Below are 17,839 nucleotides of genomic sequence, written 5' to 3' on the forward strand. Positions count from 1 at the left end.
CCAAGGGTGACACGGGCAAGGATGAAACTGAATATGCATCCAGGCAGTCGGCTTCTGGAGCCATGATGTTAGCCTACACAGACTGCCTGTTCCTTTTAGAGGGGACCTACCAAAAACCAGATGAAGAAAAAGATGATTGTAGAAATGGGTGAGATCATCCCACAGTGCATACAAAGAGCAGGCAGACAACAAAAATCAAACTGATACCTAAATAAGTGAATAAAGAAAATAAGACACAGGGCCTGAAACCTTGTAGCAAATCCAGAGAGCTGAGAAAATGAAGTGTCTCTCTAAAGAGAGCTCTTAACAGTACCAGGCAATGGGTGCTTACTAAATGCTGCTGCCGAAGACAGTTACCAACTGAAGACAAATGGCCCTTCCTATCACCTAAGGCCAGAAGGTCCAAGAGCAGGAGTTCTGCAGCTATCTCTAAGGCAGTTCCACTCAAGTACATGAAAGGAGGCCCAATTTCTCTTTAATATGTGCCAGTGAACTATTTTCTGTTCCCTCTATTCTGGTGCATGATGATTAATGCAACAGGCTTTTATTGCAGCAGTTTCCAACTACTTCAACACACCCATTCAGACTGCTGTAGAAAAAAAAAATCAAACTCTTCAAAATTGCTAGTTGTACAGAATAAACATATATAGGGGTTACACTACTTTAGGTCTAACATTCGTGCTTCTAATAGTTCCAGGCCTGTCATTTCCTTAATAATCTCCAATTTTCAGGTAGGTATATTTTGAATATAAAATATTCTCTCCATCTCTATTCAGACATGCAAGTTTGTGCTTTAGCCTGAGAACAATTTATCAGGAACAACAACAACAATGACAACAAAAACCCAAAAAACCCAGTCCCTCAAAACAAGCAGGAGAGCCAGGTGATTTATATTATAAAGCCAAAAATGCCAAAAAATAAATATATATATTTTTTGAACCCTGGTTAATTTGCATTTTTGTGTTTTGAAATTTTAACAAAATCTAAAATATTAATAAAAGCAAAGAGTTAATAAGGAAATGATTCAAAATAATTCCTTTTTAGACATGGTAATAGAAGAATTCTGGGCAAAATGCAGCTAATTGTTTATCGAAACAGGAAACAAAAATGTAGAAAGACGATTTGCCTAAAAAATACCATATCACATTTAGCCCAAACAATTTCTATATTACATCACATATCAGTACCTGTATACTGGTTTGCATATAAATATCCACTTTATTTTCATAATCTATGCTAATTTGAAGAAAAACATTCTAATTAAAATGAAGATCCACATATTTTTTAACAAAGTAAAAATGAAACATAGCAATAAAATAGGTAGAGAGATAAGTAGTTACCATTCTTAATTTTGTTCTATGTGTACCTCCCCCCACCCCCCATTTGGCCATGCAGTCAGTGTCAGAGTTGAGGGTGAAATTCCATCCCCAATTCACTGGGTGAGGCCTTTAATTAAAAGGGTCTTTGGAAGCAGTGTCACATGTGGCTCAGCATGCACTGCAACACCTTGGCAGAAACCAAATACAGAGCTTTTCCATCTCAATTTCCTTGCTCTTCTAATTTAACGTTAAACTTCACAGTGGGTAACAGCTGGGGAGATGCTGTATAGAGTGTTCATTTTTACCAGGATGCTACTGTAAAAACCCTGCACAACAGGCTGCTCAACAAAACAGCAAGCTAACACCACAAACACAACAGCACAATGAATCCTGATTTTCTTTGCCCAGAGAGTAGAAAGTGTGTGCTGTGGCTGGAACGTGTCCTGCATCTTACTGTCCAAGTGATCACATCTCTAGTTACTCATCACCAAACTAGCAATGGCTTCCATTTGGACACAAAACAGAATCTCATCTAGTGGAAGAGTTGAAGGCAAACAACACTAATGTGCTCTACTCACTAGTTCATTTGAGAACACCAAATGATGCTGTTTATGAAACAATACCAAAGCTACATCACAGACCCCACCTGATACAACTTAGAATCAACATAAAAGGCATTCACATAGTGAAAATGAAAATACAACTGGGTTCTTGGGCCACTAAAAATTCATGGTCGGGCTGGGCACGGTGGCTCATGCCTGTAATCTCAGCACTTTGGGAGGGTGAGGCGAGTGGATTGCTTGAGGTCAGGAGTTCAAGACCAGTCTGACCAACATGGTGAAACCCCATCTCTACTAAAAATACAAAAAATTAGCTGGGCATGGGGTTGGGCAGCCTGTAATCCCACCTACTCCAGAGGCTGAGGCAGGAGAATCACTTGAACCTGGGAGGTGGAGGTTGTAGTGAGCCAAGAGCACGCCATTGCACTCCAGCCTGGGTGACAGAGTGAGACTCTGTCTCAAAAAAAAAAAAAAAAATTCATGGTCTAGATACTTTCACTAATACAAACAAGACAAGTTGGGGGACAAAAGGGAGAGGCAAATGGCTCAGATTACTCAAACCTAAACCTAAGCAAGGACCTTGTTAATTGTCCACTCATCTGTAAAGAATTACGGCTTCAGCCAGTTCTACTACAAGCGATTATTTTTTATGAACACATGAAATCGCTTATTAATTCTAAAGCTAGAAAATTTGGGGTTGCCATGGATGAAGGTATGTTTTGTTTGGTGGTGGTTGGGCGGGGGTAGTAGCAATTTTGTTTTTAACACCTATAGCCTCTTGTGTTGAAATTGTTGCCTTACACCAGGATGCTATGACAAATAGAGTCGCAAACCGTAACTGATGGTGAGAAAAAGCCAGGACCACATCTGACCAGCAGCAGTGAATCTCTGGCTTGTAGAGGGACATTGGCAACTACCGTCACCCGGGAGCAGCAGACTTCTAGAGTTCTACTCTCTAGGGCTCAGGATCTAAATAACCAAAATGTTCATGTTACACAGAAAAGAAGTAGGCTGACCTCTACACTGTGCTGACCAAGAAGCCAAAATAATGGTCAATCTGCTTTCTTAAAAAGAACCAAAATTGTTCAGTTGCATTACTAGCATGGGTATGCTTTGGCATCCAACCAGGTTATCACGGGACTCGTGATCTGAGGACAAGGATCCTTACTAATATGAATGACCAGTCTGGGATGCCAGACACAGCTTTGATCCCCAGGTTCTATTCCTAGCTCTATTTACTACAATTCATGTCTTTGGGTTTCATCATCCTCTTCTGACAAAATGAGGACCAGAGTAAAACTATGATAAAATACTCAAGCCCTTGTGATTAGAGCTCTCTGTTGGGTCAGGTGACCTCATTCTTAAACTCTATTTGATGAGAAGCCATTAGATAGGATTTTTAGCCTCATTCCCTCTCAGGTCAGCTATCCTGTCTCTTAGCTAGCCAGTGGAATGGAATCCACAACCTCAAAATCAGGCCTCTCCACAATTCAGAGCATTGCAATTTCTGGATGATGCTTTTAGAGCAATAGCTGGATGACCCCTGGAAACAGAAGAAATTTCCTGGCGACATAAAGTGCAGAACAAAATTCCTTCAAAAAACCCAACTATACAGGGGCCGTAGGTAGGGTCCTACAGTAAATCATCTCAACACCAAAGAATTGAAAAGAGGCAGCAGAGCCAATACACCAACACACGTGAACAGCTCTTACATATAAAGCACTACTCTGTAGCCCCTCCTTAAAACCTCCTCTTCTTCTTGTACTCCCTATTTCAATGAAACACCACCATCCTCCCACTAGCCCAAGGCTAAAACCCAAGAGTCAACCTTGAGTTCTGCAAATCTATGACTGTCCCCTTCCCATTAAATCATGAAGCTTTGTCTGGCCTATCCCTGTAAGTTCTCTTGACTCCATTTACTCTGGCCCATCACTGTTACCATCCAACTGAGACCACAGTTGTTTGACTCTTGGCTTAAAAAGCAACCAACCGGTCTCCCTCTCCTTGGTCACGTTCCTCTCCATTAGATTTACCACACAATAGTAGAGTGATCCTTCTGAAGCACAAATCTTATGAGGTTTGCCTCGACAGACTTCCCATTAGTCTTAGGATAAAGAGCCGTTTACCTTTACACATTCAGGGTTGCCTAGTCCAGACCAAAGTTTGCCAAAATGTGGTTCCTGAACCATCCAGAGCATCGCAATTTAGGATGCTTATTGGAAAGGCAGCTTCTTAGGCCCTATTCAGAACTACTAAATTTGAGTCTTGGGAGGGGAGGTCGGTGGAGAGGCCTGGGACTCTGCATTTCTAAATACGCATCTCAGATAATTTTTACACTAAAATTTGGGGGGTAAAAACTGCCAGAGATTTAGAAAAATTAATTTCAACTTCAAATCCACCTGTCTAATCTTGAACAAATCCAGAAAACTTCTTTAGGCTTCTGTTCACTCAGCTTTCATAGGGAAACAACACCAACAACCTAAGGTGACTGTAAGGACAAATATTAATACAAGAACTTTCTTAGCTAGAAAATGCTATATGAGAGGTAGCTAATAACAATGTTGTTCTAGTTAACAGAAATATTGAATTTTGTAGTAATCCTAGACTTTTCTATCCTGAGATTGGAACCAGTGGAAACTCCTATGTGTAGACTGTTTTCAAATTAAAGTAATTACATGTAAAATAGATACCCAAGATTATAAAACAGTATCAAACAAAAAAACCTGGAAATGACAGTACAATGCACCCCTAAGAACTTGTTGATGATCGCATCTGGCAATTAATGGGTAGGGGTCAGGAATGCTAGATGTTTAGCAATGCATGACTGGGCACTGCCATTCAGATGCATGGTAACTTCTAGGAACAGAAAATAGCTGTCTATAGCCTTAGATCTGGAGAAAGTGCAACAGAGTGGGAACGGCATCGTATTCTTGAATTTGTCACACACCTGTCATCTGACTGCAGAAGCTAAGCTCTAGAACAGCTGCTCTTTACCACCCTTTTGGGATACTTCTTTGGAAACATAATGAAAGCTATGGGCCATTTCCCTGGAAAATTACTGGTAAATGCAAAATTTTACCATAGAGTAGGTTTATTCTTTTGCATACAATATGTGATAATGATAATCACCTTTTAGGTTATTGGGAGGATGCTATTATCAGAAATAATATTTAAAAGCACTTTGTAAATTATAAACATTATACAGATATTAGTTATTGTAACTTTTTTGAAAGTGACTCAGTACTGACTACACAATAATTTGGTAGAAAAGTTTTAGAAACCTTTCATTCTGTGCCCCCAAGTGCCTACGACAGTCACCCAATAAAAAAATTGGCAAAGCAGGCTGGGCACGGTGGCTCATGCCTGTAATCCCAGCACTTTGAGAGGCCAAGGCGGGTGGATCACTTGAGCCCTGGCATTCAAAGTTGTAGCGAGCGCTAATGCACCACTGCACTCTAGCCTGGGTAACAGAGTGAGACCCTGTCTCAAAAACAAAAAAAAGAAAGAAAAGAAAAAGGAAAAAAAAATTTGGCAAAGGATGTGAATACCTGCCATTAGGGTTTATGCCACAAACCTTTAAGGGTTTTTGCTACAAAACAACAAACTCATAGGGCAAACATTTTATACTTACTTGTAGTTGCTCCTTTTGCACTGTCAGGTGGATATACCCAGATACAAGTCCTAGATTTTTACATTATGAGTGTCTCAAGATTATAGTCTCTGCACCTTTCAAACCTTTGCAAAATCCTATTGACAAACCCGACATGCTCAGCAAATATTTGCTGAATTGGATGGTTTGCCCGACATGAGTAATCATCATGACACACAAAAAATACCGAGTTTTAGGTTAATACTATTTATTTATTTATTTTTTTGAGACAGGGTCTTGCTCTGTTGCTCAGGCTGGAATGCAGTGGCCTGATCTCAGCTCACTGCAACCTCTGCCTCCTGGGTTCAGCGATTCTCCTGCCTCAGCCTCCCGAGTAGCTGGGATTACAGGTGCACGCCACTATGTCCAGCTAATTTTTTTGTATTTTTGGTAGAGATGGGGTTTCACCATGTTGGCCAGGATGGTCTCGAACTCCTGACCTCATGATCCACCCGCCTCGGCCTCCCAAAGTACTGGGATTACAGGCGTGAGCCACCACGCCCAGCCCATTAATACTATTTATCAATTACAGTTCCATCAGATTAGAATAGAAAAATTTCTCCAAATTATTTTCTAAAATACAAAGAATATTAAAATCTATTTTAAAACTAGCGGCTATAAAATTAGAGGCTTTGCTCTAGGAGCTGGGAGTAGACATACGTGGAGAGGTTTACAGAATATTTTAAAATACACATACCTACCCACATATACAACTGTATTCACATTCACACATACCATCATTCATGAAGTTATATGGAGATGAAGTTAACTGGGCATTAAAAAATAGCAGCAACAGATGTAACAGTATAAATAATGGGGTAAGAGAAATGTGACCCCACTCCCTGCTGAAATCTTTCCATTCCAATGAGGAAGAAGACTACAGGAAGGAGGCTTTGTATCCCTGCCACTTGCTTCAATGTTACTAGATGCAAAGTTCAAATCAGTCAAGTTTAGCTCAAATAATATCGAATTGATTTACCACTTGCAAAGTACAAATCAGTCAAGTTTAGCTCAAATAATATCAAATTGATTCACCACTTTATGACTTTTACAACCAAAGCACAGAAAAGGACATAGCAACTCACCATGTAAGCAATGCCCAGGACTGCCAACACCTTAGTGGGTGGGGACCTGTCCAGACTCTACACAGATAAACACATGACCCAAGTAAGATCCTCACAGCCACATGGTGGTTTCTAAGAAGCTCACACTTGCTTAGATATAGTAAAACATTTATTAAGTGACAAAAAAAAAAAAAGGAACTGCAGAGAACTGCACTGCCCCACCAATCACACACATGTATATACATACATAATAAGCACAGGTAATGTGCTGGCCGGAACCAACCTGAGCTATCTTCTAGGGACCCTCAGTGGAATAGAGGAGTGCTGTCTCTACATGCCATACAAGTTCCCTGAAATCACAAGCACTTTTTGGCTGTCCCTACGGCTGCTCCCCTTCCTCATCATGTGACAGGTAGCAGCATGCACAGTGGCAGCTTGTTCACATTTCAAGCAACCAAGCATCTGCCTTCACAGCTTTGGCATCAGCCAGGGAGTTGGTGCCTATTTCTGAGTCCTGCCCAAGAACAGAAAGGCGGATACCTGCCTGACAAAGCAAGAGCCTGAAACACAGCAGATTAAATTCACTAATATCTTTAAGAAGTTACCTGTATCCAGAAAGAGCCCAAAGGAAGCAAACAAAGCATCTGAAGTAGAGGTCTGAAGCTCTACCTACATTCAGAAAAGAGTTCAAATGAAGCAAACAAAACATGAAATGGAAGGAAGGAAGAAACCCAATGGTAGACATTAAAACTGGCATTCAGGTAAAGCCTATCATGGTCCATCCATTAATTCCTATAAGTCCGGATCTGGACTAGGACACAAAAGCAAGGCCCTGACTGAGATCATTCACCACTATAACCATTGTAATCTAGTAAAAGTTCAGTACTTCTATTCTGGCTACAGAGGCAAAATCATCCCACATAGGACACTGTGGGATGTTTCCATTTACCATTATAAGTCAAATTTAAGTGAATGCCTTACAAATTGTTTGGAAACATAACCATAGTCCCTGAGTTATTTAATCCTGGACTCTGGCTTCCCCATATCTGGAGGAAGGCCCAGAGGCTGCTGTGAGCAGTTGAAAATCTACTCAATTCAGTATAATTGACACTTGCTTAGAGGAGGAAACACGATCATCCTTACTACTGCTAACATCCCATTAAAACTAAAAGTTAATTAGGCTGTGTTCCATAAAGTCAATTTGAGGCATTTGTCTCAATAACATTATTGTCATTATTCCTCATCAAAATGAATACCGCCTCCTACAGCACAACAATGTCCTGTGGAAACAGCAGCAAAAATCCGGCAACTCACATTACATTCTCCATCTGAGTTACGTAAGTAGGTTTATGTTTACAGAGAACTGAAAACAGGGATTCACAGACATTAACGCTTTGTTTTTAAAAAATACAAAGGCAGGTTTAGGGCATCTTGTTTATGTTTCCAAAGGCCTGGAAAATAAAAGCAAACTAGACAGCAGGACAAATTATATGAATCATAATAATACCATGAAAATTCAAAAAGAGAAGTACCTATTGAAGTTAACCTATCACAAATGCTAGTTGCTAAGAATGGACACCACAAAATCTTTACCAAGTGAGCACCACAACCCGTGCACCCTCCACCTCTACCCAGAACAGGATTCCAACCACTCCCCAGAGGGCTCTGGCAAGGTCTGGAACACACGAAAAAGCCAGGGGCACCAGGATACCCACTAAGGACATTTCTAGTAACAAAGAATTGAAAATTTTCCTCAAGACCCAAAATGTAAACATACCAAATGAGTCCCCTTACATGAGTCTTTTTAAACATATTTAATAAAGTATAAATAAAATGTAACTGTTAGAAACAAAGCAAATGCATAAACATCTATATAGCCTATAGATATTGACCTCTAGTGACTACATGATAATGTTGTATTTAAAGTATTTTTAAATAATGCTGCTGAAGGAAAACTAAGTTATAATCATATTTTGTGAATACTCTTCTCCTTGCATCATCAGTGGCCCAATGATATGATCATATGGGTGGGGGAAGGGGGTCACGAGAGAAGGGCAGCAGGGACTGGGTTAGGGAAAGTGCACCCCAGAAATGTAGACAACTGCTACAGCGGTTAACCCACATAAGAAAGTGCGCAAGTGCCCTTAGCACACTGGTTCTCCATGAGGGCCACCCAAGAAGCTTTAAATAGCCCTCAAATACCCAGGCTTCCCCCCTGCCCCCATTAAATCTAATCTCTAGAGGTGGGACTGAGGCAACATTAGTTTTTAAAGCTTCCAGGTGATTCCAACATGCAGCCAAGTTTGAGACTAGTGTCTTATCTATAAAAGGTGTCAGATGAAATGATTCTGAAGCTGAAGACAAATCTGTCCATTTCCAGGGGAAAACAAAATATTGGTAAGTAGTAACACAGCGAGTCACAAGCCAAAATTTTAAGTTGTAATTTTGCCCCTCCTGATCTAAGTGACCTTGAGAAAATCACTTGATTTCCCGGGGCCTCAATGTGTATTCCTTCTAAACATGGAGGAGTTCTACATAAATCTGTGGAAATCCCATTTAATTCTATGATTTCAACATATTAATAAAGAAATACTTCTCAATGGGACAGTTTTGCCAGGCTAAACTGTAGTAAGTATGTAGTAAGTAAATCACAGTATGTAGTAAGTAAATCACAGTTCAAGACTCCAATCAGGACTTTTACACACAATTTGATTCCAGGTTTACTTATTTACCCTTTTAACTTTTTTTTTTTTTTTTTTGAGACGGAGTCTCGCTCTTTCACCCAGGCCGGACTGCAGTGGTGCGATCTCAGCTCACTGCAAGCTCCACCTCCCAAGTTCACACCATTCTCCTGCCTCAGCCTCCCAAGTAGCTGGGACCACAGGCGCCGGCCACCACGCCTGGCTAATTTTTTGTATTTTTAGTAGAGACGGGGTTTCACCATGTTGGCCAGGATGGTCTCGATCTCCTGACCTCGTCATCCGCCCACCTCGGCCTCCCAAAGTGCTAGGATTATAGGTGTGAGCCACCGTGCCCGGCCATACCCTTTTAACTTTTTAAGAGCTAGACCCACCAATAAAAACTGAGTAAATTCCGCATATGTCAGGTGTCTTTTTCTTTCTTTTCCAAAATGTAGTTGCACAAATTCTGAATCCCAGTTAAATGGAATATGTTGATGAATTGTGGTCTGTCCAAAAACTTGCTTAACATCCTCTGAAAAGAGAAAAGACAGGTTGATTAAAACAAAGTAAATGAAGTTCTTTCTGATAAAATCTGTTATTGAATGGATATCGCTTTTTCTTATTAAAAAAAGTAATTCAATTTTAAATAGACATACAGATTACAAACTATGGCAGAAATAAAAGAACCCTCAAGGAATCAGTTAAGAAATCAAGGTCAAGAATCCCACCAAATAAAATAAAGGGGGGGAAAATCAAGAAGTCTCTCACACACACACAACCTAAAGGCTGTAGGAAACCCAAGTAGAAAGCTAAAACTATTATCATCTCATTTGTTTTTGTTTCAAGAAATAATGATTATTTTCTAGGTACAGAGGACAGAATTCAATCTTAGTGGCAGGAAAACACATACACACACACACACACACACACACACACACACGATACAAGCGTTACATATAGCCTTTAACAAGTTATTTAAAAGTTTTTGGAAGATTTAGAAATCCATTAGGAAAAAATTTGACACACATATTTAACACCCCTAAGGCTGTTTCTGTGTTTGAAAAAGTCCAACACTTTATCGAGCTGCACGTGAAGACAAAGAAAATGAGGAGAAAAGCCAGCAGCAGCCCAAGTCTTTGATTTTCTACTGCACTCTTTTGGCTTGACCCAAGAGTTCTCAAATTGTTCAAATAATCCCATTTAAGATGGGCCACTGAATGTGCTGGTCCTGGCTTAGGATCTCTTTTTAGCCTCTACAGAAAAACTGTAAGAGGACTGACAGAGAAAAAACAAACAAACAAGAAAAAAACATGAAAAACCTTACTTTTCTAAAGCTTCTATTTTTATTTTTAGCCTCCTCCTCTTGATAAAAGTATGTGTTTGGAGAATGGAGGAAATACAAATTATTAGCATATTAATAATTTTTCCTGGCTTTCACATCTTTAAATATATCTACCAAACCTGCTCATTTCTATGAGCAAACTGTGCTTGATACCTTTTTTTCTCTTTTGCTTCTATTTAAAACAAAAAAAGAAGAAGAAAGTTATTTAGTCCTCTGAAAAGTGCCAAAACCTTTGGCATAATGTGTCTATGGTTTCCCCTCAAATTTCCTGCTCCCACCCCCATTATACCCACAGTTTTTATTCCACGTTTTTAAAGTTTCCAGAAATTTTTAAAGCCTTGTCATGAAGAAACAGTAGTGCCACCATTAGCATAAGGTTAGGTGTGTATTTGCACAGAGAAGGCAGTAAAAAATCAGGATTATGCTGGGCATAAATTTTATAAAACATGGCAGAAATCCTCAGACTGGCCCTGATGAGGACAATAAAAGTTTTAAAGTACAAGTACTGAATTTATTCTGTCTTCTTTACTTTTAGGGAAAAAAGAGATAAGATATAAGGAAAATGAAGTGAATCCAGAATTAGGATTTAAAGGAAAAACAAACAAACAAAAAAGATTCTCAGTGAGTCTGACCAGGGGTCAATAAAAGGAATTAAGTAGAAGATTTCTGAGAAGAAATCACCAAACTGAAATTCAAATGACTTGGATTCAAATTCTACTAACAGCAGCTAAAATTTCTTGGGCACTCACCATGTGCCAAGTATTGTTCTAATGGCTGTAAGTCCCTTAATATCTTAAAACATGACTTTCTTCAGTGCAAAACATATTAACCGAGATAATCTGTGACTCCTTTCCAGGTGTAAGTGTCTGTATCTCTGTAGGAAGCAGGCCCAATAAAGTTTTAATAAAGGCTCCCATAACCTTCTAATCTAGATGAATAAATTATCTAATGAAAATAATGCTCAAATGATAAAGATGTGACCAAAAGAAAAAAAATTCACACTGTAAATAAAATTTTATACTAGAATAAAATTTTAGAGAAATAATATGCAAGAAAAAATGGTTTTCTGGTTTATCCTCAGTTAACTTAAAAATTCCTTTCTGCCAAGCATTCCAGTGAAATAAAGTTTTAACGTAATAATCATAGGATAATTGTCAAAAATAAGATTTTTCCCCTTCTTGATCTCTCCTTCAATCTCTGTTTCCCATAGAAAGTAACAGAAGGTTTTTACTAAATAGCTGGTATGTAAAGCTAAGGCACTTATTATCCATTTTTATATTTATATGGTCTAAAATTATAAATATACATGAAAGTAGGTTTAAGTTTTTCTAAAATTAGTGAATGCATGTAAAATGTGTCTCACCATAAACAACAATCTTATTTATCTATAATTAAAGTAACTACCATTTACTTCTTACTAGAGCTCACATTTGAATCCGAAACTCTAAACGCTATAGTTTTTTGGACTACACCATAGACTGTGTGTGTGCCTCTATGAAATGCCTGGCTGATGTACTGAAATCTCCTCTGCAGGATAGAGCTATACATTATCCCTAAGATATCTCTCAGATCTAAAATCTGACAATCCTATAGGCCTGTACTACCAATAATGATTTGTTTGAAAAAAGATCTCTCTATAAATCTTCTAGAGTATACTATACTAGATGTATATAAAAGATCTCTATATGATGTAATATAAATCATTACATAGTATGCATATGTATGCACATATTAATGTGTTTGTGCATATTTATTGCACGTCTTTTATTTCCTAATTGATTATTAGCCCCTTCACAGCAAAGACCCCATTCTTCGCATCTGATTCTACCACTATGGCTGGCACAGTGGTAGGCAGAGAGCAACTGCTCACTAAGTAGTTGCTGAATTTAAATGAGCCAGAAAAGGTTTACAACAGATAATGCAACAGGTTAAGGACAGCGGTATTAACCCTTTGGGGCACTACAGTTTCCCTTGCTGAGAAACTATTCAACAGTCATTTCTCACCACTTCAGTGCACTGCATACAAATCATCAGTCAACATCGTTTATCAAAATCCCCAGGCCCGGTCCTAAACTGATTTAAACATGTTGAGGGGCTGAAAAAACTGCATTTTAGCCAGCACTCCAGGTTTTCCTGATGCAAGGGTCCAGGACCTCATTCTGAAAGCATTATCAGGGAGTATGGAAGGGTTAGATTCACTCCTAATTTTTAACTTCTCATTGAAATGGATAAAAATTTAAAAGGAAGGAGGTAGAGAAGACTCTCCAGACCAAGCAGTGTAATGCAGGAATGTGTAAACACAGATCATGTGTGACCTAGGTCATTCAGGGCTCCCATGCTGCACAACTCTAGTGGATGGCATTCACTTCATGGTCCATGTGACTGGTGCCTCCTGGAGTTGGGGAGTGTATCAAACACATGACCCTGAGGATGTAGGCCCATTATTAGCTTTGTGGCTGTTCCAATATACTGGCTATTGTAGGAATGTCAGGGCTTAGCTAGCTAGCTAGCAACCTTCTAAGTAGCACAGCTTGGGAGCACTGTACTAGGTCCTGTGGGAAGAGGAAGGGTAGTAAAAGGTATGAGGCTACATCCAAGTCTAATACTTGAGAAATAATTCAACAGCAGATTCAAACAGTACACTGTATCAGCACTAAACCACAGGGTGGCCTCATGGTAAGGAAATGGAGATTTAAGGAGAGAAGTAAGAGAGAAAAGCTTACTGGAGCAGATAAACCATGATCTGGGACCTGAAAGGTGTCAAGGATTTACTAAGAGGGACCTTTGAGGGAGCTTTTCAATGGCGATCAATGGCATGAAGAAAGGTTCATTTCTTTTGAAGTGAATCAAAGGTCCAGTTACAGTGCTTTGGACCAAAGCCACCTGGGATCACTGAGACATGATAGATCCTGCTCCAGGTAGCCACAGACATTGGCATCACCTGCCAGCAGCAAACATTATTTTAAAGCCCCCGGGGCATGATGCTATGTTTATGGTGAAGAAAAGTTTGCTATGGAAAGAACAGTTGGCCATGGGACTCTGCAGGGAAAAAAAGGCCTGAAGTTGTTTACCACTTGGCATAATTTCTACGAAATTTACTTTTTACTCTCTTGACCTACCTAGCAGGATTATGTACTCAAATATCATAAGATTGCCAAGCCATTCTAATTGGAGAAGCCAAATGATATGCAAAAGATTAAAGGAAACCTACCAATATTTCTATTCATCTCACAACTAATAAAGTCTTTTAAAACAAAATATTAAATCTTGTTCCTCTGGAAAACTCACACATTTTCTCCAAAAATATTTTATAGACTCATAAGTTTCTGAATATTTCATTCTGCTCTAATGAATCATCCTAGGGCATTCATTTTCTGAAATGTTTGGTCTCTACGTTTTCCTGCAGGCTCATGAATAGAAACATCTATAAACTCAATAATCACTATGGGTTCCTTGCATTTCTCCCTCACTCTGGGAGACATTATAATACCACGTCAGGTTAATATTCTTTTCTCCTTTTAGGAGGCACAAATAGCTTTCTCACTTAACATTTGATTGTTTAAGATTCCTCTATGTCTTGTAAGGCTCTCAGAGGTAAGAGGAACAAGTCCCAGCTCTCATTTTATAGCTGAAAAATCAGAAATGAAAATCCAAAGCGATTTTCAAGCCCAGTTCTACTCTATACTCTGGCTCCCACATGGGCAATTCCATGAGCCTTACTATGAAAGACTCCAGGAGTCAAACTTAGAGTTGCCCTCTCACCAAACCCGTACCATTCCCTGACCATTCCAAACCTAACTTGCAGTCCTGGAGAGGAAAGAAGAAACCCAACATGTTTTAGCTTTTTTGGTTGCTTACTTGGTTCAGAATAACTCGTAACTCAGTCGTGGAAGACTTTCAGGTAAGAACCACCTGCTAGATCTATCTCAAATGTAAAAATAATTAGAATTAGGTCTCTTCTGGTCTAAAATACAAGGCTTATACTCTTTTCCCCATGTTGAGGTCATATAGGCAAAGAAACAAAACTAATTAGCATTAAAATGTGCATGTAGCACTAGTATATATTTTGGATATATAAAGTCATATTTTTCTTAGTTCAGCCACTCCTCCTAAAAGTAAAGCCAAATTAGAATGCTTATTTTTTAAAGTAAAGTATAATTGTTGTTATTTCAGTCTGTGCCAAACAAGCTATGTTTGGAAGGCCTGTAGTTCCCATAATATCACCAAATAATAGTGATATTATTTAAAGTAAGACCTCACCAAATAAGCTCAAGGTTCCTTTTACTTGTGGAACCTTGCTTTCTCCACAAAAGTTTCCATCTTAAAAGTCTGCCGCATTTGTTTATATCATGAGAAGACAATTACAAAGTGGCAGTTGTTTACTTCCTAAAGATAACCTCAAAAAGTCAACCTATTTCTCCCAAGTTAGTAAGTTTCCCAGGCTACAGGGTATGGTTATAGTGAAAAGAGTTGAGACCTTTAAAAGTTGGGTCACAGATCTTATATACAGAAAAGTCCTAAGAAATCACTAAAAAATTATTAGAACTAATAAATAAGTCTAGCAAGGTTGGAAGACAGAAAAATCAATATACAAATATCAACTGTATTGCTATATATTTGAAATAAGCAATCCAAAAATGAAATTTAAAAAACAACTCGGTCAGGCGCAGTGGCCCACGCCTGTAATCCCAGCATTTGGGAGGCCCAGGCAGGCGGATCATTTCAGGTCAGGAGTTCGAGACCAGCCTGGCCAACAGGGTGAAACCCCATCTCTACTAAAAATACAAAAATTAGCCAGGCATGGTGGTGGGCACCTGTAATCCCAGCTACTCAGGAGGCTGAGGCAGGAGAATGGCGTGAACCCGGAAGGCGGAGCTTGCAGTGAGTGGAGTGCCACTGCACTCCAGCCTGGGTGACAGGGCGAGACTCCGTTGCAAAAAAATTAATTAATTAATTAATTAATTTTAAAAAAACTCAATTTACAGTAGCCTCAAAAACAATAAAATACTTAGAAATAAATTTAACAAAATAAGTGCAAAACTGATTCTCTAAACACTACAAAACAGCATTGAAAGAAACTAAAGAAAATCTAAATAAATAGAAACACATCCCATGTTCACGGATTAAAAGACTTGATATTGTTAAGATGGCAAAACTCTCCAAAGTTAATTTTAAAATGGCAATACTCCCTAAAATGATCTATAGATTCAATGTAATCCCTATCAAAATCCTGGTTGGCTTGTTTGCAAAAATTGGCAAACTGATCCAACAATCCATTATGAAAATTCAAGCAATTCAGAAGAGCCAAAACAATCTTGAAAAAGAAGAACAGATGGAGTCTTGCTCTGTTGCCCAGGCTGGAGTACAGTGGCATGATCTTGGCTCACTGCAACCTCTGCCTCCCAGGTTCAAGCAATTCTCCTGCCTCAGCCTCCTGAGTACCTGGGATTACAGGCGCTTTGATACACCCAGCTAATTTTTGTATTTTTAGTGGAGACAGGGTTTCACCATGTTGGTCAGGCTGGTCTCGAACTCCTGACCTCGTGATCCACCCACCTCGGCCTCCCAAAGTGCTGGGATTATAGGCTTGATCCACCACGCCTGGCACGAATTTGGATTTCAAGCTTACTACAAAGCTAGAGTAATCAAGACTATGTAGTACTGGTATAAGATAGACACAGAGAACAACAGAATGAAATTGAGAGTAAAAAAATTAACCCTCACATTTATAGTCAATTGATTTCCAACAAAGGTAACAGACAATAAGAAAAAACTGGTGCAGGGACAATATCCATATGCAAAATAATGAAGTTGGGCTCCTATCTCACCCTGTATACAAAAATTAACTCATAATGGATCAAAGACCTAACTACAAGACTTAAAACCGTGAATAGTTTTAGAAGAAAATATAGGCATATTTTCAAGAAAATTTTAGAAAAAAATATAGACATAATTTTTGTGATGTTGGATTAGGAAATGGTTTAGTTGACACCAAAACTACAAGCAACAGAAAAAAAAATAAATTATACTTCATCAAAATTTAAAACTTTATACTCCAAGGATACCATTAAGAAAGTATTAAAATGGCCAGGCACGGTGGCTCACGCCTGTAATCCCAGCACTTTGGGAGGCCGAGATGGGCGGATCACCTGAGGTCAGGAGTTTGATACCAGCCTGGGCAACATGGCAAAACCCCATCTCTACTAAAAATACAAAAATTATCCAGGCATGGTGGCACGTGCCTGTAATCCCAGCTACTCAGGAGGCTGAGGCAGGAAGAATTGCTTGAACCCCTGAGGCGGAGGTTGCAGTGAGCCGAGATCATGCCATTCCATTCCAGCCTGGGCGACAGAGAGAGACTGTCTCAAAAGAAAAAAAAAAAAGAAAAAAAGAAAGTGTTAAAACACAATGAGATACGATCTCACACCACTCAGAATGGTTATTAAAAAGTCAAAAAATAACAGATGCTGGTGAGGTTGCAGAGAAAAAGGAACACTTATGTACTGTTGGTGGGAGTGTAAATTAGTTTAACCACTGTGGAATACAGTGTGGCAATTCCTCAAAGACCTAAAAACAGAAATACCATTCAACCCAGTAATCTCATTACTGGGTATATATCCAAAGGCATATACATCATTCTATTATAAAGACACATGCATGTGTACATTCACTGCAGCACTATTCACAATAGCAAAGAGGTGGAATCAACCTAAATGCCTATCAACGATAGAGTGGATAAAAAAAATGTGGTATATATACACCATGGAGTACTATGCAGCCATAAAAAAGAATGAGATCATGTCCCTTGCAGGAACGTCGACGGAGCTGGAGGCCGTTATCATTAGCAAACTAATGCAGGAACAGAAAACCAAATACTGTACGCTCTGACTTTAAGTGGGAGCTAAATGGTGAGAACACACGGACACAGAGGAGAACAAGAGACAGTGGGGCCTACCAGAGGGTAAAGGGTGGGAGGAGGGAGAGGATCAGGAAAAATAACTAATGGGTACTAGGCTTAATATCTGAGTGATGAAATAATTTGTACGACAAACCCCTATGACACAAGTTTACCTATATAATGAACCTGCACATGTACCCCTGAACTTAAAATAAAAAAGTTTAAAAAAAAGAGAGAAAAAAAGAAAAGAAAAAGATAAAATAGCCTATAGACTAGGAGAAAAACTTTGCAAGTCACATATCTGATAAGGAACCCTAGTATACACA

At 39.0% G+C, this 17,839-nt stretch overlaps 1 protein-coding gene across 7 annotated transcripts in view; it reads right to left on the minus strand.

Annotated features, from left to right (window-relative positions):
• Positions 1-17,839, minus strand: part of SLC25A13 (solute carrier family 25 member 13) — a 201,879-nt gene that overhangs the window by 78,953 nt on the left and 105,087 nt on the right. For all 7 annotated transcript variants that reach the window (NR_027662.2, NM_014251.3, NM_001160210.2 and 4 more), the window contains one exon: positions 9,666-9,805. Coding sequence is in view for 6 of the 7 variants with exons in the window: in NM_014251.3 (NP_055066.1) it covers positions 9,666-9,805 (140 nt within the window). In the remaining variant the exon portion in view is untranslated. The remainder of the gene's footprint in view (positions 1-9,665; positions 9,806-17,839) is intronic.

Source organism: Homo sapiens, chromosome 7 (assembly GCF_000001405.40).
Source record: "Homo sapiens chromosome 7, GRCh38.p14 Primary Assembly".
Classification (NCBI taxonomy): Eukaryota; Metazoa; Chordata; class Mammalia; order Primates; family Hominidae; genus Homo; species Homo sapiens.